Source organism: Homo sapiens, chromosome 15 (assembly GCF_000001405.40).
Source record: "Homo sapiens chromosome 15, GRCh38.p14 Primary Assembly".
NCBI classification, from domain to species: domain Eukaryota; kingdom Metazoa; phylum Chordata; class Mammalia; order Primates; family Hominidae; genus Homo; species Homo sapiens.
In genome coordinates, this window is record NC_000015.10 from 63,876,421 (window position 1) to 63,897,808 (window position 21,388).

At 49.2% G+C, this 21,388-nt stretch overlaps 8 annotated features.

The window, feature by feature from the left end:
- Positions 2,474 to 3,369: an enhancer, noted in NCBI's record as "H3K4me1 hESC enhancer chr15:64171093-64171988 (GRCh37/hg19 assembly coordinates)". NCBI's record gives its function as "activates a minimal SCP1, AML or CMV promoter by ChIP-STARR-seq in naive and primed H9 embryonic stem cells {active_cell/tissue: H9 hESC(naive and primed)}" and the evidence as "EXISTENCE:reporter gene assay evidence [ECO:0000049][PMID:30033119]".
- Positions 14,872 to 14,961: an enhancer, noted in NCBI's record as "active region_9543". NCBI's record gives its function as "activates an Ori minimal core promoter by ATAC-STARR-seq in GM12878 lymphoblastoid cells {active_cell/tissue: GM12878}" and the evidence as "EXISTENCE:reporter gene assay evidence [ECO:0000049][PMID:35858748]".
- Positions 16,310 to 16,604: a silencer, noted in NCBI's record as "tiled region #4498; K562 Repressive DNase matched - State 5:Enh". NCBI's record gives its function as "represses a minimal TATA promoter and a strong SV40 promoter by Sharpr-MPRA in K562 cells {active_cell/tissue: K562}" and the evidence as "EXISTENCE:reporter gene assay evidence [ECO:0000049][PMID:27701403]".
- Positions 16,310 to 16,760: a biological region, named in NCBI's record as "Sharpr-MPRA regulatory region 4498".
- Positions 16,531 to 16,760: an enhancer, noted in NCBI's record as "active region_9544". NCBI's record gives its function as "activates an Ori minimal core promoter by ATAC-STARR-seq in GM12878 lymphoblastoid cells {active_cell/tissue: GM12878}" and the evidence as "EXISTENCE:reporter gene assay evidence [ECO:0000049][PMID:35858748]".
- Positions 17,536 to 18,037: an enhancer, noted in NCBI's record as "H3K4me1 hESC enhancer chr15:64186155-64186656 (GRCh37/hg19 assembly coordinates)". NCBI's record gives its function as "activates a minimal SCP1, AML or CMV promoter by ChIP-STARR-seq in naive H9 embryonic stem cells {active_cell/tissue: H9 hESC(naive)}" and the evidence as "EXISTENCE:reporter gene assay evidence [ECO:0000049][PMID:30033119]".
- Positions 20,389 to 20,438: an enhancer, noted in NCBI's record as "active region_9545". NCBI's record gives its function as "activates an Ori minimal core promoter by ATAC-STARR-seq in GM12878 lymphoblastoid cells {active_cell/tissue: GM12878}" and the evidence as "EXISTENCE:reporter gene assay evidence [ECO:0000049][PMID:35858748]".
- Positions 20,639 to 20,688: an enhancer, noted in NCBI's record as "active region_9546". NCBI's record gives its function as "activates an Ori minimal core promoter by ATAC-STARR-seq in GM12878 lymphoblastoid cells {active_cell/tissue: GM12878}" and the evidence as "EXISTENCE:reporter gene assay evidence [ECO:0000049][PMID:35858748]".

A 21,388-nucleotide genomic window follows, 5' to 3' on the forward strand; every position in this document is an offset into this window, starting at 1 on the left:
GGCCCATGAGGCTGTGTGGGAGTTTTCCGCCTTCCTTTATGAGCCTGTAGGTGCCATAAATGGTCGTGTCTGGTAATCTTAAAGGGACGGAGGAGAAGGAAGAGAGGGTCAGCCTACCCCTTTCACATTATTTCTATCCTCAGGGCCGGGCGTGGTGGCTCATGCCTATAATTCCAGCACTTTGGGAGGCCAAGGTGGGTGGAGCTCTGAGCTCAGGAGTTCAAGACCAGCCTGGGCATCATGGCAAAACCCAGTCTCTACCAACAACACAAAAACTTAGCCGGGTGTGCGGGCACACACTGTAGTCCCAGCTACTTGGGAGGCTGAGATGGGAGGATCATTTGAGCCTGGGAAGCGGAGGTTGCGGTGAGCCAGGATTGTGCCACTGCGCTCCAGCCTGGGTGACAGAGTGAGACCCTGTTTCAAACAAACAAACAAACAAACAAACAAACAAAGAAAACACATTAATTCTATCCTCTAACTATAAAATTCTACAATGGCTCCACTTTCTTAACCTTGGGGAGCCCCGTAGGATACTCTCTCGTGGATAACATCAAAACATCTCACAAAGCACATTATGTTTGCTTTATTATACAAGTAATAAGCAATAAACTGGGTTAGTACTCAGAATATACCCACTCCCCTCCCACTCCCACTGTGGGTGGCATATACTTCCCTGCCCCATTGGTGTTGGGCTTGGCCATAGGACTTGCTTTAGCCAATAAAATGTTAGGAAATGAGGTAAACAGAGGCTTTATACATGCTTGTGCATTTTGGCTTGTCTCTTGGGCTCTGACAAGCTGGAAGGTGAAGCGAAGCAAGCTTTTATAACTGTTGCCCCTTCAGCCAGAGCCCCAGAATGAAGGCACGTGGGGCATACAGCCTGACCTGCAGTGAGGAGCCAGACCTAGTCCAACTGCAATTTGACTGATTTAGCAGGGCGGGGCTGAGACAGAGCAGCCCTTCCATGCCCAACCTAAGTCAGTCAAATTGCAGTTGATCTGCAGAACTGTGAGCTTGAGAATAAATCCTTGTGTTGTAATCTACTGAGATTTGGGGCTGGTCTGTTATGCAGTATTATTGTGGCAATAGCTAATAATTATATAATATATATTTACTGTAGAAAAAATTAAAAATATAGATAAGTAAACAGGGAAAAATAATACACCCATGATCCTATCACCCAGAATAAGTACTGTTAGCATAGTGGAATATGGCTCTTGGCTATTTTTCTATATTTCACAGCAATGGGGGCCTAGTATATATACCTTTTTTGTAATCTGCTTTTTCATACCAACATATCATGAGCATCTTTCTAAGGCCATAAGCATTGCAGCATTTTCTCATCACCCCTCCCAGCAACTTACAAGACAGGCGCAGTGGCAACCGTGTTTGCCCAAGTTCACTCCTCTAGAAATGAGCAGAGCACATTGTGACTCCAAGCTCAGTACCCTTTCTACCAGGCAGGGGTTCTCTTGGGGCCTCATTAGCATTTTTGTCACCTGGCAAGGTCAGCTCTTTCCCCAAGGAGAAGAAAGTGAAACCTTTATCTTATCTGGAAGTGGAACAGAAGTGTTTGATTCCCTTGATTCACCTGATCCCAGGGGCTGCAACAGGCCCCAGCTCCAGGGACCTACTGCCAACCTCTCACCACAAGCATCCAGGGGAACACTTGTTTCTGCCTTAGGGTGTAGTGGGGCATGAGCAAGCGGTTGGTAAGTATTTTCTGATGCCCACAGGTTTCTAGTTTCAACTGAGGCTTTTTTTTTTTTTTTTTTTTTTTTTTTTTTTTTGCGATGGAGTCTTGTTCTGTTGCCCAGGCTGGAGTGCAGTGGCATGATCCCGGCTCACTGCAACCTCTACCTCCTGGGTTCAAGCGATTATCCTGCCTCAGCCTCCTGAGTAGCTGAGATTACAAGTGCATGCCACCACGCCCGGCTAATTTTTGTATTTTTAGTAGAGACCGGGTTCCACCATGTTGGGCAGGCTGGTCTCAAACTCCTGACCTCAAGTGATCCGCCCTCCTCGGCCTCCCAAAGTGCTGGGATTACAGGCATGAGCCACCTTGCCCGCCTATCTGAGGCATTCTTCTTAGCAGAAATGGAGCAGAGGGTAGCTTCCATTCCTGCAGTAAAGCTAGCCTGGGTGCTTCTGGCAGGAACCTGGGAAGCCCGTGGAGCCAGGCTGCATTCCCAATTCAGACAGTTTCAGCAAGAGAACCCCAGGGAGGTTGGAGAGAGGGGCACAGAATGACCAGATCAATGGCTGAAGTTACTCACCTAAGCAAAGTGCAGGACTCAGAGATGGAAGGCCTGTGTCTTAGTAGTTGTGTGGCCTCAGTTTTCTCATCGGTAAAATGGTCATGGAACTGTGTGCCCATTGAACACTCTCTTCCGACACAGGGTTGTTGTGAGGATGGTGAAGTAATAAGCAGGAAAGAGCGATGGCACTGCAGGGAGCACTTACCCTCAGAATCCCAAGAGGCCGTGTCCTCCTGGGTCAAGCGGAGGAGGCAGGACATGCAGGTCCCCACTCTCCAAGCCAAAGGACAGCAGCAGGGAGAAGGAACCTGGCTTTGGGGAGCTCCGGGTTGGGAGAGGCCAATCCTACAGAATCCCTGACAGCTGGCAGAAAACAGGCTCCAGGCACAGAGTCTCCTCTGATCAGGTTTTTCCCTGAGGAAGGCCCTTTATTTGTGTTTTCCTCCTTAAGTTGATGTTCTAGCCCCAGCTTGTGAAAGGGAAAGAGAGAGAAAGACAGGAAAAAAGAGAGAGGAAGGGAGGGGAGAAGAGGAGAGCAGGAAAGAATAAAAACATCCCACAGTGTGTGGACTGGGGCCATTGCAGGTGGGTGGGAGGGGACATCTGAGAGCATCCGATGGGGCCACTCTGCAGCCAGACTCCCCCAGGAACCAGAAGCCTCAATGCAAACCCAACCATAAAGGCTGGGGAAACCCTGGGCCCAGTGGCTCAGCTGGCAATGATTGTATGCCTCTAGGGTGGGGGTGGGGCACGGGGTAGGCCTTTTGTTCAGCCAAAAGGCCTCCTCCTGCCTCCTCCTTTCACCAAGTCCAGCCTCTCTGCAGGATGAAGAGATGGGAGGGCCAGAGACAGAAAACGTGATAAGAGAGAAAATGCTTTTTTAAAAAAGTGTGTAAAGTATCTTTTTTTTTTTTTTTTTGAGATGTTCTCCCTCTGTCATCCAGGCTGGAGTGCAGTGGTGCAATCTCAGCTCACTGCAACCTCCACCTCCTGAGTTTAAGCAATTCTCCTGCCTCAGCCTCCCGAGTAGCTGGGTTTACAGGCACGTGCCACCAGGCCCAGCTAATTTTTGTATTTTTAATAGAGACGGGGTTTCACTATGTTGGTCAGGCTGATCTTGAACTCCTGACCTCAGGTGATCCACTTGCTTCGGCCTCCCAAAGTCCTGGGGTTACAGGCGTGAGCCACCGTGCCTGGCCTTAAGTATGTGAAGTATCTTGCACAGTGTCTGGCACATATGAGGTAACAAATATGACCAAGTTTGCCCCGAGAATTAGTGACAGGGCCAGGACTAGAGCCCAGGTCTCTGGACTCTATGTCCCAGACATGATTCTTTGATCTCTTGTTGGTAGCAGGGTGCAGCTAGTGTCCAAACTAATGCTTGGTGATGAGGACAGTGGCTGGTTGAGTCCATAGGGGACCTGCCAGGCACACCCTCCCTCAGGATTCTGGTTGCCAAGGCTGCCTCTTACTGAGGCCTGAGCACAATGCATTCACTCTCCCCTGGGCCAGGAGCAACTCTGCACAGGCAGGGGCGGGCTCCCTAGGGCCAGCCCCCAACCAGGCTCCAGGAATGCTGAGGGAGTACACCAAGAGAAGGCTAGCCTAGAGGCAGCTCCCAAGATGCTCATCCCAGGGACCCAGATCTCAACAGCTGTGCCCTCAGAGTCAGTAGGGACAAATGGACCTCTTCAGAGAGCTACCCTTGTGGGGCCTGGGCCCCCAACAGCACACCTGGGGACCCCAATCCTAGGCAAAACTTGAGAGGACACTGGGGGACCCAAGTAACAGCCTGTGAGGGTCCCTTGCCCAGTTGGGAAGCCTCACTCTACATTTTTCCTTCCTGTATATAATTCTTTCATCTCTAAATACCATCCACTGAGAGGCTTTTATTTCCTTAGTTTGTACAACCATTTAAGGATGGAGATTATGACTTCTTCAGCACAATCCAAGCACCTTAGCACAGAGCTGAGATGCACGGTATTTAGAAAATGGGTTAAGTTGAAAGGAAAGAAATCGAGTTGGATTCCTTGGGGGTTCTCAAAGGTACTTGGAAGTTCACAGAACCAAAATGAGCAAGGAGAGTTTCTACGTCTTGATGCACCTGCCAATACAGATTTCAGTACTTTATTTATTTATTTATTTATTAATCTATTTATTGAGACAGAGTCTTGTTCTGTCACCCAAGCTGGAGCACTGTGGTGCAAATATCACTCACTGTAGCCTTGACCTCGTGGGCTCTTGGGAACTTTCCAGTGAGACTTAGAAGGAAATGCCTCAGCTTTAGGGGAAATTCCCAAGAGAAACAGTTCAGTTAAACTACTTTCTACGGTCCGAGGCCATCGCATGGTCATGACTGGCTGTGAGGGAGATAGAGAAAGGTGAGACTTGGGTCCACATCTTGGAGCCCCCTGGGAAAGAGGATATTATTAACCTATATTAGAATTCTAGTGTGAATGAGTTCCCCTACTCATTTTTCCCAGAAGCTAAGGAGAGAGCTTAAGAGGTTACTTTTTTTTTTTTTTTTAGGCAGGGTCTCACTCTGATGCCCACACAGGAGGGCAGTGGCGTGGTCTCAGCTCACTGCAACCTCCGCCTGCCAGGCTCAAGTGATTCTCCCACCTCAGCCTCCCAAGTAGCTGGGATTACAGGCTGCCATGCCCAGCTAATTTCTGTATTTTTAGTAGGGACAGGGTTTCACCATGTTGACCAGGCTGGTCTCAAACTCCTGACCTCAAATGATCCACCTGCCTCAGCCTTCTAAAGTGCTGGGATTGCAGGCAGGAGCCACTGTGCCCGGCCCAGAGGTTACAATTTGAATTGCAGACGTGTGTGAAAAATCAGGCCTTGGTGATGACCTTGAGCCGCAGGATATAAATAACTCCCACCTGCTTAGCATTCCAATAATGGAACACTAGGCATAAGACCTTCTGGTGGGCAGGTACCCATCTGGGAGGCTGCAACAGATTGTGGTTTCAAACACTATTTCTTCCATTTGCCAGCTGAGTGATCTAAGACGAATAATCTGCCCCTTTGAGTCTCAGCTTCCTCATCCCCAAAGTGGGGAAGTGAAAAGTGCGAGGTTGTTTAGACACGGATGGAACTGCCTGAGTGAAGACACTTGGCATGCAATAGGTGCTGGGCCATCCTACTTGCCAGCCTGCTTTTGTAGGGCAAAGAGGTGTAGTACCTTTTCCTCACCCATTCCAAGGTCCATGGCCAATACCCCCATGACAAAAAACAGATTAACGAGAGAAAAGCATAACACATTTATTTAATCTAAGTTTTACGTGATGCGAGAGGCTTCAGAAATGAAGATCCAGAGACAAAGGGAAAACTGTGTATTTTTAAGCTTAGGTCCAATAAAGAACAGACAGCCATGTAGAAATGTGATTGGAAAGAGGGTGTGCTCTAATGGTGATAGACTGAAGGCAGAACACAGCAAGGCCTCTTGTTCAGCTTCTCTACGGCCTCTCTGTGTAGCGTTCTTTCCTTCCTGAGTAAGGGGCAGGACCCCTGTCGTATGAGGGTCTTCCAGGGAGATGGGAAGAGGTTAGAGAGTGACATTTCTAGGTTTCGTGGCTTGCACTGGGGAGAGGAGTTCTAGTTTCTATGACCTCTTTCAGGGGCAATACTGGGTAAGGAGAAAGGAGGGAAAGAAAAAGGAAGGCAGGAGAGGATCAGCAAGACTTGCTTTTGAGGCCCTTCCCATCCCTTCCAGTCCAAATAACTCAGAGTGCTAGAGTGCCATATTTTGGGATATTGTGTTCTGAGCCCCAATATTTGCTTGGGTTTTTTTTTTTTGTCCCTCCCTTCCTTCCTTTCTTCCTTCCTCCCTTCCTTCCTCCCTCCCTCAGGCCTGGCAGGCTGAGGAGGCTGCCCCTGCCATAGCTGCTCCACAGCAAGGCCTAGAGAGTAGCCACTGCACCAAGAGCCTTGGGCCAAGCTCTGAGCACCCTGGCTAATACCAAAGCTGGAGCCTAGAGCAGGGTTCCCAGAAGGTTATCTGGGGCTGGCTTTGACCACATTGGCTACAGCATGGCCTGTGGGTAGACATGCTCTGAACAGCTGAGGCTGACCTGAACGTTGGCATCATCAGCAGAATCATCTTCACCAAGCAGGGTTTGAACTTGAGGTCAGTGACCCCAGGCAGTGTGGGGAGAGGGTTCTTCACCTGGCTGTGCCCCATGGATGGACAGCTAGGACTATACTCTGGGCCCTGCCCTATAGCTCAAGAAACATCCTTTACCCAGAGGAGGCAGAGACATCCCAACTGGTTTTGGGAAACAAATATGAGAGGCTCAGATCATATAAATGAAAGCTTGTTAGGCACCAAGGGAAAGTGGGCAGAACGGCCCCTCCACCTTACAGATCAATAAATCTGACTAAACAGGAGTTCGATTTACACAGCCTGGCCAACATGGTGAAACCCCGTCTCTACTAAAAATACAAAAATTAGCCGGGCGTGGTGGCATGCACGTCTGTAGTCCCAGCTACTCAGGAGTCTGAGGTAGGAGAATCACTTGAACCTGGGAGGCAGAGGTTACAGTGAGCCAAGATTACACCATTGCACTCCAGCCTGGGTGACAGAACGAGACTCCGTCTCAAAAAAAAAAAATTAAAATAAAATTTAAAAATAAAAATGTACTGAAACATTATGATAGTATGAGCTCATGTTGCTAGAAAGTGCGTGTGTGTCTGTGTGTCTGTGTTGAAAAAATACAGAACATGTTCTAAAATATTACTAGTGGTTAGATCTGAGTAGTGTTAATTGTGGAGATTTGGGGGATTTTGTGTGTTTTTCTGTTTTCCAAATTTTCTTTGAGTATCTTGTCTTTTATAATGAGAAAAAATTCTCCATAAAAAATAAATAAACATATTTTAAGAACAAACCTTCTCCTCGGTCTCTGGCACCCATAACCTTCAGGCTGAATTAGCGTGTGCTGAGTGGTCAGAGTCCAGGGCTGGAAAGCAGGGTTTGGGTTTTATCTGTGGTCAGCCTAAGACTAGTGAAGGCTCTCCTTATCCCCGAGGGTCTTCAGAGCCCAGGCTCCTGGGAGTAACAAGACCTTGGAGAGCTAAAGAGGACAAGCCTTCCCCAAGAGCAAGCATCAGCCCTCGGGTGCACCCTGCAAAGGATGCAGGCCTATGGCCAGAGCCCACTGGCAGGTGAGGAGCTGGTCTCCAAATCACCAGCCTGTCCTCCCTGTGATCTCCTAGTTACTGTCCTTTCCAAGGCTAGTTTGTTCATTTCTTTTGCTTTGGTGAATTACCTGGTAAATTCCTAACACATGTTTTTTTCTTCTTTAAGTTATAGCCCCAGTCAGTTTCTGCTGCTTTCAACCAAAGAACCATCTGTTTCACCATTCAAACAGATTGGAGAACAAGAGAGATGAAGGAAGAAAGGAAGCCAGCTTTTAGTGCAGGCCTACTATGTACAGGCGTTGGGCTAGGTACCCCCATACATTCTCTCAACTTATTCTGATAACAGCATTTCAAGGTAGGTTTCGTTAGGCCCAGTCTAACAGAGGAGGAAACTGAGGCTTAATGGAGTGAAGTCACTTGTCTATCGCATATGGAGTTGGTGAGAGAACCAGGTCCTAAGAGAACCAAAATTGTCTCATCACAAAGTTCACGCTCTCCCCAATGTCTGAGGCACCTTCCTTTGGCACTTTGCTGATTTTTTAGTTGACAAAAGAGAAGCATTAAAGAGCATTCTATTTTTTCACTCTGGAAGTCGGAAGAGCAGACTCAGACCTGGCCCTGGGCACAATTGTGAGGCAGACGGGTCTCAGGAACCTTTTCTGTGCCTTGTGTTCCCTTCCCACCCACCTCCGGGCACTTCCTGGATACATGTCCTTCTTTGCTTGCCCCACGGAAGCTTGCTCTTGGGAAAGAGTCTTCCTGAATCATTCCCATCCTACTCCCTGTGATGGAGAAGGCTTAAAATGTTTTTATGTTCAGGGAAGCATCAAAGAGAAAAATTTCTAGCTCTGGGATTGCAGGAGTCAGGAAGCAGGGCAGGGCCGTGAAGAGGACAGTTGTACCCTGAAGTCATAGTTCACAGACCTCCTCATGGTGGTCGGCCCTGAGGGGTCAGGGCAAGATGCCCTGAGCAGAGGAGTGAATCAGGAGGTGTGAGACCTGAGCCTGTGAGGAGTGGCCTGTGCTCTGCCTGAGGCCAGGAAAGGCCAGGGCAGGGTGGCTGGCAGGGCTGGCCTCACACCATCCAGGGACAGCCAGGGATCCAGTATCCTGGGTTTTTTTGCCCTGGGTTGGCCCCCTCTGACAGTTACTCTCCCCTAGGGCTACTACATGTCCTTTTGGGGAGATCCCCGGGAGTGAGGAAAGGGCAGACAGGGCCAGAGCCCCTAGGCCTCCAGAAGGCAGTCCGGCATGCAGAGAATTCCCACCAGGACCGGGGGGTTGGCAGGGCCATCATAACAACTGCTACCCACTACTGAGTGTGGGTTGCACGCCAGGTTCACTCAGCACTTTCCCAGCATTTGCTGTGAGTCCTCAGAAGCGGATGCGCCTCCAGTTTCCCAGTCATCAGGACCAGGATTGTGGGAGGCAGCTCCACCATCTTCCCACTGCCCAGGGCTGCCCCAGAGCCAGTGGGGATGACAGCGTGGGGAGAATATGACTGTTGTCTGAGAGGGATGGGGTTTGATTGTGCTTCCCTTCACTTTTTACTCAAGAAAACAAGACAGAGTAATTTGGCTCTGAACAAACAATTCCCACTTGCTAGGTGCAGGCCAAAACGCCTAAGTTTGAAACCTAGAAGAAGCCTTGAGGTTATCATTCTAGAGCTAGAGAAACCAAGGCCCACAGGTGAAAGGACCGCCTTGACTTGCTGAACCAGGACTTAAACACGGGTGTCTCCACCCCCAGCAGGTTGCAATTTCCACTCCAGGAGTTGGAGGGTCTGTTATCTCAAAGGTGTCAGGTTGTAGGCGACAAGAGCCCTGCATGGCTCCTGCTGTGCCCTCCTCTTCCTGACTACATTCCCACTCAGAACAGGTTGCCCCAGGACCACAGGAAATATCTCGATTGTCTCTGGATTGCCACTTTTCTTTATTTTCAAAAAGACTTTTTTTTTTTTTTTTTTTTTGGAGACAAGCTCTGGTCATTTACCCAGGCCAGAGTGCAGTGCTGTGATCATGGCTCACTGCAGCCTTGACCTCCTGGGCTCAAGTGATCCTCCTGCCTCAGCCTCCACCTGGCTGATTTTTCTATTTTTTGTAGAGATGGGGGGTCTTGCTTTGTTGCTCAGGCTGGTCTTGAACTCCTGGCCTTAAGCAATCCTCCTGCTTTGGTCTACCCGAAGTGTTGGGATTACAGGGGTGAGCCACCACACCAGCCAAAGACTCTTTGCTTCCAGAAAGAAATAAGAAATAACCTTCTCATTGCATTTCATTGAGAGATGCAGAATAGACCACCTCCTGCAAGCTGCTCCATTTTAACTTTTGTCAAGGCAGAAAAATCCTTTAATTGTTTCAGATCTATTGAATTGAGTCTTCCCTTGCTGGCTGACTAAAGCAAGGGCTGAAGGATACAGGCCCCAAATTTGCTGAGCCTCTACACTGAGCACTCTACAATGGTTTGTAGAGTGGCAATGATAAGGAAGCCCACTTTGTAGGCCTGTTGGGGGATTAACCGAGATAACGTAAGGCAAAAGGCTTAGAACACAGTATGGATTTAATAAACATTTACTATTATTCTTCTAATCCCAGCCAGGCCACAAGCGAGGATATATCATCCTAATCTCATTGAAGTCTGAGTTCATTAACTTTTTTATTGTAGTAAAATATAGATAACATAAAATTTACCATTTTAATCATTTTTATGGTCGTGGGAAGCGCTGCCTCTCCACTCTCACCAGCGTCAGGTCCTAGGACCTCTCCAGCCCCTGAGTTGGGTTTCTGGATTTTTCTCGATGGTCTGAATTTACAGTTTTCTTAACATGATGCCCATGGCTTGAGAAGGAGCAAGGGGGAGAAGGAGGTCTCCATTTCTTCTTGGAAAGGTAACAGAAACACTGCCCATCCTCAGGGACCAATGGAAGTTGTTCTTTTCTTTGGTCTTCCCTGCCCCACTAGACTTTCTGTACCCTTCTGCCCACTCCCCAGTAGGACCTGTTCCAACTGCTCCCAATATCCCTCACTCTCCATGGGAATTGCTCCTTTTTTGTTTTTGTTTTTTGGTTTTTTTTTTTTTTTGGAGACAGAGTCTCACTCTGTCACCCAGGCTGGAGTGTAGTGGTGCGATCTCGGCTCACTGCAAGCTCCGCCTCCCGGGTTCACTCCATTCTCCTGCCTCAGCCTCCCGAGTAGCTGGGACTACAGGCGCCCGCCACCATGCCCAGCTAATTTTTTGTATTTTTAGTAGAGATGGGGTTTCACTGTGTTAGCCAGGATGGTCTTGATCTCCTGACCTCATGATCCGCCCACCTCGGCCTCCCAAACTTCTGGGATTCAACAGGTGTGAGCCACCATGCCCGGCCCCTGCTCCCTCTTTTTAACAGGGTTATTGAAACATAATTCACACACCACACAATTCACCCATTTAAAGTGAATGATTCAATAGGTTTTAGTATATTCAACGATATGTGTAACCATCATCGTAGTCAATTTTAGAACATTTTTGTAGCCATAAAGAGAAACCCCACACCCTTTAGCTATCACTCGCCCATCCCCAGGTCCCCTAGTCCCAAAGTCAACACTGATCTACTTTCTGTCTCTATAGATTTCCCCATCCTGGACATTTCATATAAATGGAATCATATACATGGTCTTTTGTGTCTGGCCTTTTTCACGTAGCATTCTATTTTCAAGGTCCATCTGTGCTATGGGAATCTATGCTTGTGAATGTGTCTTTCTTCTCTGCCTGGGCCATTGAAACAAGGCCATGTAAGCCACAGCAGTTTTCCAAAGGACATGTACCCCTTTCTTCTCTCTTTTTGACTCCTGCTCTCCACTTCCGTCCTTTGGAGGACTTCGTCTTCTTCCAGCCAGGCTTCTGTTAACCCTTCTGCCAACACTTCCTCTGAGGGCCAGGCCCAGGGCTGGAGGCCTGGGAAAGCTGCCCCCAGCTCCTCTTCCAGTGCTGGGGCTAGGCCTGGGGAATTCTGCTTTGAAGTTGGTTTCAACATGGGGAAGTGAGTGGATAGGGCCTCTAGTCCTGCTCTGAGCTCAGCCCTTGTCATTCAGAAAGCCACAAGGCCTGGGACAGGCCCCTGAAGTCCTTCCTCCTGACCCTACCCCTGACCACACGATGCCTCGAGGGATGCAGATGCTCCGAGGAGCCCCAACCAACATGTGCAGGCCCACACGTACATGCACAGAACCCAGGACTAATGCCAACAATGGAGACCCTTCTCAGTCTGCTTAAAACTCTGAAATCTTATATTTATAGAATACTATCTTTATTTGATTATGTTTTGTTTTAGATTTTAACTTGCAACGTTTGTTTATCCAGGGCTTTTTTTCTGTCTCTCTTTCTCAAAGATGGCCAATGTTGGTTGGCCATTAGTCAAGTACTGTGCCCATGCTGGGCAAACTAGGCTCCTTTGTCATGCTGTGTGGGGAGAATGGGTGTGGAGCTGGCACTTTCCCTATTCCTGCCCAGCCTCAGCCTGGCCCTGGGGACATCTGCCCAGCAGGCCTATGTGGCTGGATCACATGGGTCCCACTACAGTTCACTGCCCTCCAGTCCATGATGAGGTCAATTGCTCAGATTGTCCCCAGGGCTGACTGAGTGGAAAGGTGACTCCTGACAGGGCAGGCCTCCAGGGTTAGTCTCTATGAGATATGAGTCCCCACTTGCCCCAGAACATCAGCCTCATTGAGAGCTGCTGCAAATGGCCATCTTCCTTTAGGGCTAAGCATCATCCCCTCCCTGCAGGGCCTCACGAGGATGAAGGCGCTGCAAGAGGACTCTTGGATGGAAGTGACTTGTTGGGAGAGCCCATGAGCTCTCCAGAAAGGACTCCCAGCCTGCAGAAATGTTCTTTCTGTACACATATGACACATGCACTTATACTCACCACCTCTCCTGTGGACACACCTCCACAGTGTGCCCCTGTGAATCCCAACCCACACTTTAATCCACCTTCTGCCACCATCTCCACATCAGTGGTCTAGAGCTGGCGGCAATGGAGAAAAACACACCCACTGTACAGAGAAGATGCCTGAAGTGGAGGGACAAGAGACCTGCCCAAGGTTACATGGATGTATGCAGAGCCAGAGTGGGTGCTCAGGCAGCTGTGGTGTGGTGGAAGCACATCACCTGATCTCCTCTCCCCAGCTGTGTGACCTGGGGCAGGTCACTTAACTTCTCTGAGCCTAGAGTCTGCATCTGTGAGACGATAACACCCACTTCAGAGGGCTTCCGTGAGGATCCAGGGAGTCATGTGATACAAGCACCTCCTTACAAGCTATAAAGATGGTGAGAGCTAGTGGACAGTCAGAATTCTGGCCTTTTCCCTTCTTTTGAAAGTTCAGCTGCAAGTTGTATTGGGATATAGGTTGCACATACTTTTTTTTTTCCTGTTATATCTTTTAACATTTCATGGTATTGTTTATATATAGAAGTTTGTGATTTGAATGTTGTTAAATTTATTCATCTTTTCCTTTAAGGTTTTTTGTTTTTGTGTCTTGCCAAAGGTTATAAGTGAGGAACATTAAAAAAAAAAAAAGACAAATTCCCCAGACAAATCACAGAAAATAGAAAAAGATCTTGAAAATATTTTTAAAAACTCACATAATAAGAGGAATGCTAAGATGCCATTTCACATTATCAGATTAACGGAAGTTGTAAAGTTTGCTAACACACTGTGTTGGTGAAACTGATGAGGAACAAGCACTCTTGTTCTTTGCTGGTAGATGTATACACTTGTAGAACTCTGATCAAGAGCAATTTGGCTGTATTTGTAAAAATTAAAAACACACATACCATTTGATCTATAAGACCACATCTAGGAATTTATCCTCAGATATTACAGATGTATGAAATGACATATGCACAAGGTTATTCATTATAGCATTGTTTATAACAGCAAAGGAAACAACCATCATTAGGGAACTGGTTAAAATATGTTTCATCCATGCAATGAACCACTATACATTTGTAACAAAGAATAAGGAAGCTTTTCTGAACTGATATGGAAAAAATATCTCTATACCCTTAAGTGAAAAAAGCAAAGTGCAGGACAGTGTGTATAATAAGCAATTGTCTTACCCCGTGAGGCGCACTGTGGCAACCAGACCTCTGGGTTGTGGAATCAGGTCCTACAGGTCACCGTGGTTGGGGGACAGTGGCAGTTGCTGCCCCCATCTCAAGAAGGCTTGAGCAGCCGGCAGTTTGGCATCATTCTACAGCAGGAGGTTAAGGGCCCCCCTCCCAGAGTGGCGATCATTAAAGCCAAGGCTCCCAAAGGTCAAGCTGCAGAGCAACACCTGGAAAGAATCTGCCACAGCCTTCAGAAGCATCATGCTATGTTGACTTCTATATAGTCAGATAAGCAGGATCACTTGAAAGCTGAATGGGATCAGCCTAATGACCAAAGGTATTGAGACAGCCTTGTGCAAGCAAAAATTAAGAATGCCATGCAAGCGTTTATCATTAACACTGAAGGACAAAACACATGAGGCACACAAACCTGGCGCCTCAGACTGTGAAACATTCCTAAAACCATAATTGGAGATTGCCTAATCAAAAATCAAGTGAATTTGTCAAGTAAGGGTTATGGCTAGGATATTCATATTCCTACCAAATCAATAGCTATTGCTTGTTAATATTTTTTGTTTTATCTATGTTTTGATGGAAAGCAAATGAATATATTGTTCATATTTTGTTACTTTGGTTAAAATCTATTTTGCTTCTTTTGTTGAATATAAAATTGACCCTTGAACAATAAGGATTTTTTGTTTTGTTTTGTTTTGTTTTTTTTAAAGACAGGGTTTTGCTTTGTTGCCCAGGCTGCAGTGCAATGGCGTGATCTCAGCTCACTGCAGCCTCCCCTTCCTGGCCTCCTGGGTTCAAGCGATTCTCATGCCTCAGCCTCCCAAATAGCTGGGACTACAGGTGTGCACCACCACACTAGCTAATTTTTGCATTTTTAGTAGGACAGAGTTTCACTGTGTTGGCCAGGCTGGTCTCGAACTCTTGACCTCATGTGACCTACCTGCCTCAGCCTCCCAAACCGCTGGGTTTACAGGTATGAGCCGCGGCACCTAGGCTTATATACCTTTTTATACTTTAAATTTTTTGAGCCATGTGAATATTTTACCAATGCAGAAAATTAACACTATTTTAAAATAATAACAGTTTCCCAGAATCCAATCCAAAATATCAAACCAGACACTCTGGGCCCATATATTTTTTTAAAAGTTTCCTAGGAATCTCTCAGGGGAATCCTGGCCTGTCATGGAAGATCGCTAAGAACCTACTGAGCCTTAGATCCAGCAGTCAAGGTCCCAGCCCTTGCAGCGCCACCTGGTGGCCTTAGTTACCAAGCATCCCTCAGAAAAATGTGTGTGGATGGCCAGTGAATGCAGACCAGGACAAAGAGTAACATGGCACTGTGTCCACAGGCTGGGTGGGGCTGGCCCCAGCGGACCCAACATCGACCTCCAGGACTGGCTGTGTCGGTCCTGAGGGAAACGAGGCAGAGGGCCTAAAGTTCTACAGCCTCTGTCCCAAGGAGCCACCCAGAGGCAGCCTGCAAGAGCACATACCTTGGGCCTCTGTCCCAAGGAGCCACCCAGAGGCAGCCTGCAAGAGCACATACCTTTGGACCTGAGTTCAAACCCCGGCTCCACCAACTACTAGCCTCGTTATCTCATGCAGCATAACTTCTCAGGTCCTCTGTTTTCTCATCTGCAAAATGGAGACAAGTATAAGTCTGTAGACACATCTAGTATAATGCCTATGCTCAATAGGAACTTGATTAATGCTCATTCTCTTCCCTTTTGTTACTTCTAGATAGCTTTACTCCCTGGCCCTAAAGAGCCTAGCTGGGCTCATGGGAGCTTCCTGTGGCCTGGGAGGGTTCAAGCATTGGAGAGACTGAGGAAGAAGAAATCCATATGCTTCTTGTCTTTCTAAACCCTCTCCCTCCTCCTTGCCCCTTCTTTAGCTAGCAAGGAATACATTTCAGGCCTGGCTGAGGTGGGGAGGCAGTTCAGGAAGTGGCTGCAGTTCCCACAAGCAGAGTCAGATGGGGTTCCAGTCCTGTGCTATAGGCCTGGGTGCTCCATCAATCAATCGAGTCTTTTGGCCTGGGAGCAAGGCCCAGTCCCTGCCCTCCCTCGGGGAGTGCATTATACTCAGGGAGAGCCGAATAGAACACAAATCACAGTGAATGTGCAGGGGACTAAGGGGACTCAGAGGCACTGATGAAGTTACTAAATTGACCATCTGCTCTTTCAGGTTGTGACACTATTTCTAGAAGCTCCTGATAAAAATGCAACTAGGAGCCCATGAATCCCTCACCCTTTAGTTCAGACTAGCATCTCTGCTTCCCTCCTAGGTCTTCTGGAAGATGGCAGAACCCAAGAGAGATGAGACATTATAAAAACGTAGACAAGACATTGAAACATTTTTGTTCGAAGCTGTAGAAAGGAATGTTCAGACGACAGAGCAGAGCACTCCTAGAAGGGGTGACTGCTAGGTTCCAGACCCCCTGGCAGTGGGAAGACACCAGCCTGGCCAGAAGAGAGCCTCCCAAAGGGAAACTGGGGGATACTGAGATCACCTGGGTCACAATTCTGCTCTTTGTACCCATGTCAGCAGAGGACCTCCAAGAAGTCAGATGCTGGGAGAACAGAGTCCTAACCTTAGGCATTACCCGATTCACAGGTGAGGAAACTGAGGACCAGCAAGGGGAGGTGCTTGCCTCAGTCCCATGTGAGTTAATGGATGACCCTGACCTGGACTTCAGGTCTCCCGAGCCCTATTGCATGGTGCAAAGCACTCAGTCTTTGGAGCCAGGTAGAACTGAATTTGAACCCAAAGTCCCCTGCTACTTTGCTAGCCATTTAGTTTTAGAAAAGTCATCTACCTCTCTGAGCCTTGGTTTCCTGCCTTTGTAAAACAGACCAGAGCTCTTGCTCAGGAGTGTTGTCAGGACTAAAGATAATATGTGCAAGCCACCCGGCACATGGTAAGTGGGGATGCTACGATTATTGCTTCTCCTACGCAAACCACACCAGCCACAGACAGGCAGGAAGAGGGCTGGCTGCTGCAGCTCTCAGGCACAGCAGCTTTGCACTTGGTGGTGGTCATGGTAGGGGCATGGGGTTCTGGTTGAAGGAGTCAGATGTGTGGAAAGTAGAATGTGCCTTGTGGCTGGGTAGTGAGGCTTCTTCACTAACTCCAGAGTTGCAGAGTATGCAGGCCGTGGGAGCCACACACCCAGCCCATGGCATGCAGAAGCAAGAGGCATGACCCCTTATTCATATGAAGGGCCCTACCGATCACATGCTTTGCAGTCGCCAGAGTGGTTGCCAGGGGCAGAACCACTATAGGGGATCTTCCTTCCTCTTTTGCTCCAGGCTCCTCACTTACATGTCTATTTTTACCCTGTACTGTATGCTGTCAATAAGAAGCATGGTTATTACAGCAGCAACCACATTCCGAGTGCAACGGAACGGGAACTTCACATGCATCAGCTCATTCCATTTCACCCTCACAGAAGCCCTGCGGGAGCATACTGTCATTCCCATTTTACAAGAGGGAGAACTGAGGCTCAGTTCGTTGCTAACAGTTACCCAGCCAAGAAGGTGCCAGAACTGGGATTCAGACCCTGAGGTCCAGTCTAACTCCAAAGCCAGGGTTTCCATGCAGCACCCCCCTGCCCAGGTATGATGCTTCTTTCCAGGGAAGGGAGGTTGATAGAGGCAGGGCCTACAGGTTATCATTATTATTGTTGTTGTTTTAAAGATGGGTGTCTTGCTCTGCTGCCCAGGCTAAGTGCAGTGGCATGATCATAGCTCACTGCAGCCTCAAACTCCTGGGCTCAAGCAATCCTCCTGCCTGCGGGTTTTGAAGGCTGTAGCAGGACCAACTCCTGGGCAGGTGTGTTGGGAGTAGGGAGCCTCATTTGAGCCCCAGAAAGTTTGCTCACGAGGCAGTTCTGAAAAAGTAGAGAGCACCACAGCAGAAGCAGAGGAAGAGAATTGAAGGAGACATGAGGTTCACCTCCCAGCAGCTGTTCCCCTTCTCTTAGCAATGACCAGTTCTCCTCCTTCCAGTTTCGGGGAAGCTAACTCCACCCTAGGCACTAAGGCCTTGGGTCTCAGGCCTAAACAAATCACCCTCATCCATCCCTCAGCCTCCGTGACTGGTCCATGGATAGGGCGTGTGGATCAACAAGACACGGGGAGGGGCTCACTGGGGTCTTCAGAAAGCAGCTGCCCCACTTTTCTGAGCAAGCTTCCATAGGCAGGCTTGCTGTCTGGTGTTTAACAGCTCAGTGAACATGGTGAAGTCACTCTCCCCACCATCCCCTGTATGTGTTGAAGGCAGCTGGGGTGATAAATAAAAAGGCTCCTGTTTTAAAAACCTCCACCTGTAGGAAAGGTGGGAGGCTGCAGTGCCCTGAAATCACCCCACAGAGGCCAGAGCCTGGCTGAGTCACCACAGCCTCTCCTCTGATTCCTGGCCCAGAGGAGCCACCCGGGCGCCCAGGCCGGGACCCTGGGTATTTTCAGCTTCCAGCAGCATCAGCAGGGTCAGAGAGGCCTCAGCCATATTGTATTTCATGTGACCGAGGCGCCTGGCCAGCGACATGGCCATGGAGAGCCAGCCTTGTATTCTTGTCACTGGCCTGGGCTCCACCTCCCTTTCTGCTCTGGTCTCCAGAGCCTGGACACAGCAGAGGCATGTGGGAAGGGCTCCTGCCAGGCACAGCAGGCACCAGAAACGGGTGACAAGAGGGACAGGCAACTTTAGCCACTACAAAGTCCTCGAGGATGGGCTTCAGCGTTGTTGGGAACTCCACCGTTCACCCATTCCCTTCATAAACAACCTGAGCAGTACGTCTTCCTGGGCAGTGTTAGGGCAGGGTAGCTGACTATCCCAGTTTGCCCTGGGCTCTCCTGGTTTTAGCACTGAAAGTCCCATGTCCCATGAAACCTCTCAGGTCCCAGGCAAGCTGGGACAGTTGGTTACTGTAGTTGGGAGCGTTGTTAGTGATATCTCCTCCCATGCTCGGGTCCATCTTCCAGCTGTGATTGCTTTTTGAGGATGCAGCAGCACCTGCGGCCTCTTCCAGGCTCCCCCCACCTCCCCTCTCTCCCTCAGCTCTCGGGTTGTTTTTCTAAAGCAGCACATCAGAATCACCTGGAGGGCCTATTAAAGTACCCTCAGAGTTTCTGATCTAGGAGGTCTGGGAGGCAGCTGGAGAATTTGCATTTCTAAGTTCCCAGATGACCCTAATGCTGCTGGCCAGGGACCACACTTTGAGAACCCCTGATCTTAGCCACAGCTCTGATAAAGTCTCACGAAACCTCTCAACCCTCCCCATAGCTTGCTGAATAAAGGCCTAAGCCTGGGTTGAAGCCCCTCTTTATCTAGCCCCCTTCCCCACCGCAGCAGGCCCCACCCCAACAGGGTGCCCCGCGTCCCCAGGGGATACCTTGCTCTCTCCTACCTCTGTGTCTTTGCTCAAGCTGTTCCTGGCCTGGACTCTGCAGCCCCCTCCACCCATGTGAATCCTCTTATCTGTGAAGCGCACTCAAAGGCTACTTCCTCTGGAGGCCTGCCTGGGCCCCCATCCCTCGGAACACAGGACTCCTTCCTCAGCTCCCAGCTTAGCGCCTATTTCATCCTTGTCACTGCACTGTGGATTCCTTGAGGACATGAACTATCTTTTCCCATCTTTGTCTCTATATTTGCTAAATAGATATGACCCCAGAAGACAGAACCAGGACAATGGATGGATCTGCGGGGAGGCAAACTTGAGCTTAACCTGAGAAAGAACTTGTAACAACCTGAACAGTTTGACACCAGCCCTTAAGGGTCCTGCCAAGAGATCCTGAGCTCCCTGTCGCCCCTGGGCATCTTCAGTGGTGTTGGACGAGCATCTACAAAGTCTCTGAAACCCCTGCTTAGACCAAGTACTGACTACCTCAATGTCCCTCCTGGGGCCCTCTCTCCCCAGGAGAACCTGACACCCCCCCATCAAACCCGCTGCCCAGCATGCCAGACCCACAAGGCCCCACAGGCTGGCTGGACCTTACTGGAGACCAGTGGTCACAGCAAGTGTGACATTTTGTCAGTGGCCTTCACTGTCTGAATACAAGGAGTGACCAGTGGTGACACCCTCCTGCTCCAGGCCAGCCTCCCTGCCTTCCTCTGATCACCGCCTCCCCCGAAGGACCAACCCCACCTCGATGTACTCACATCGCCTTTCCTTACCTCATCCATATCTCACGTGGCCAGGGGAAGCAGCTCATCTATGGGCAAGCTGAATATCCACAGGTGCGCTCCCAGCTCGGGCTCCTTAGGAACAGGAATATCCTCCTGCAGAATATTCTCCAGTGCCTTCCCCATGCTGGGTGCATGTAAATGCTCAGATGTTCATTTCCTGATGTGCGTTTCCCATCGATGTCCTGCTGGAACCCTTCCCTCACAAGTGGTGCTCTCCCAGGTGTGCTCCAGCGGGCAAATGCCCTCCTCACCCCTCCCCATCTGATATTAGGAAAGAACCTGTGAAACCCATTCCAACCAAGAAGCCTGGGACTGAGGCTTTCTGCCCCTGCCATCCCTGGGGAAACGTTACTGTTTAAATCCGATAAGCGTGAAAGCCTCGCTTGATTGCATGGCAGCTAAGCATACTATGTGTAGTGGTGTTTATTTGCTGATTGGTTGATTTGGAGAGGAAGGAGAAGGATTTTCCAGAGTCTAGACTCTTATGGCTTTGTGGGGCTTTCCAGGGTCAGCATCGATTGTGAAAGTTTGGTGAGCTTGGCAGTTTGTATCATTTAAGAAAATCTGCCCGGGCTTCCTCCCCCACCAGGAAGTGTCCCATCAGTTCCAAAGCCCTCAGCTTAGTTATTGGAAAGGCCTGAGAAAGCCACGACCCAGCGGACCCAGCTGGGGAACACCTGGGTCTCAGTTCACCTTCTGCCAACCTCTAGGTCTTACGAGCATTCCTGTTTCCTCTCCTTCCCTGGGCTACTTGAGGTCATGACCTTCTGAAAGAATGCAGGGTCAGCCAGCCTGGCTGAAATTTCCCCTCCGTGGGTGTGAAAGGCGATATGTCCAACTGTGAACACACAGGGCCCACATCCTTATGACTCAGCAGATGCGGCTGTCCTCAACCACATCGCCCAGAATGTCACTCTGACCTGCCTCAGAGGTCTGACAGCAGAATAGATTCTGCAAAGCCTGGGCCCAGGAGGCGCTTTCTCCATGAGTCCTTTTGGACAACACACATTCACCCAGACACACACTCAGATGCACACACACACACACAGACACATCCACTACAGAGACAGATGTGCACACACTGATACCCAAACGTACCCCAAACGCAGACACGCGGACATGCACAGACACCCAACACACACATGCACACACAGGCCCCCGGACAGTCAGATACACACACAAAGACATCCACACACACAAACACCCAGACACATCCACACACGTCCACACACCCCACAGAGACATGTCCACAACGGGTGCCTAGGTATGCCCAGAAACACACAGTTACCCGAATACAGCCAGACACACACACACACACACACACACACACACACACACACACACACACAGACTCCTCCAGAGGACTCAGGAAGAATCAGATCTGTCCCGTATGCCTGACCTTGAATGCCTCTGCCAACCCCAACAGATGGCCACTGGCTCTCCGACAGGGCCCTCTGGTCTCTGACCAAGAACCAGGGTCACAATGGACAGAGAAGGGGAAAATGGTAGAACTACTAATTCACCACCGTGCAGTTAACCCGCAGAAGTCTCATTCTTTCATTTAATTGGTAGCTTTCCAAAGTTCAGCCACGAGAAGGCGTAAGGACAAGCAATCAGAATACTAACCCATAACTTCCTGTCCCTTCTCTTAGCACCCATCCTTTAAGGCCAAATTAAAGTCCACCTTGTTC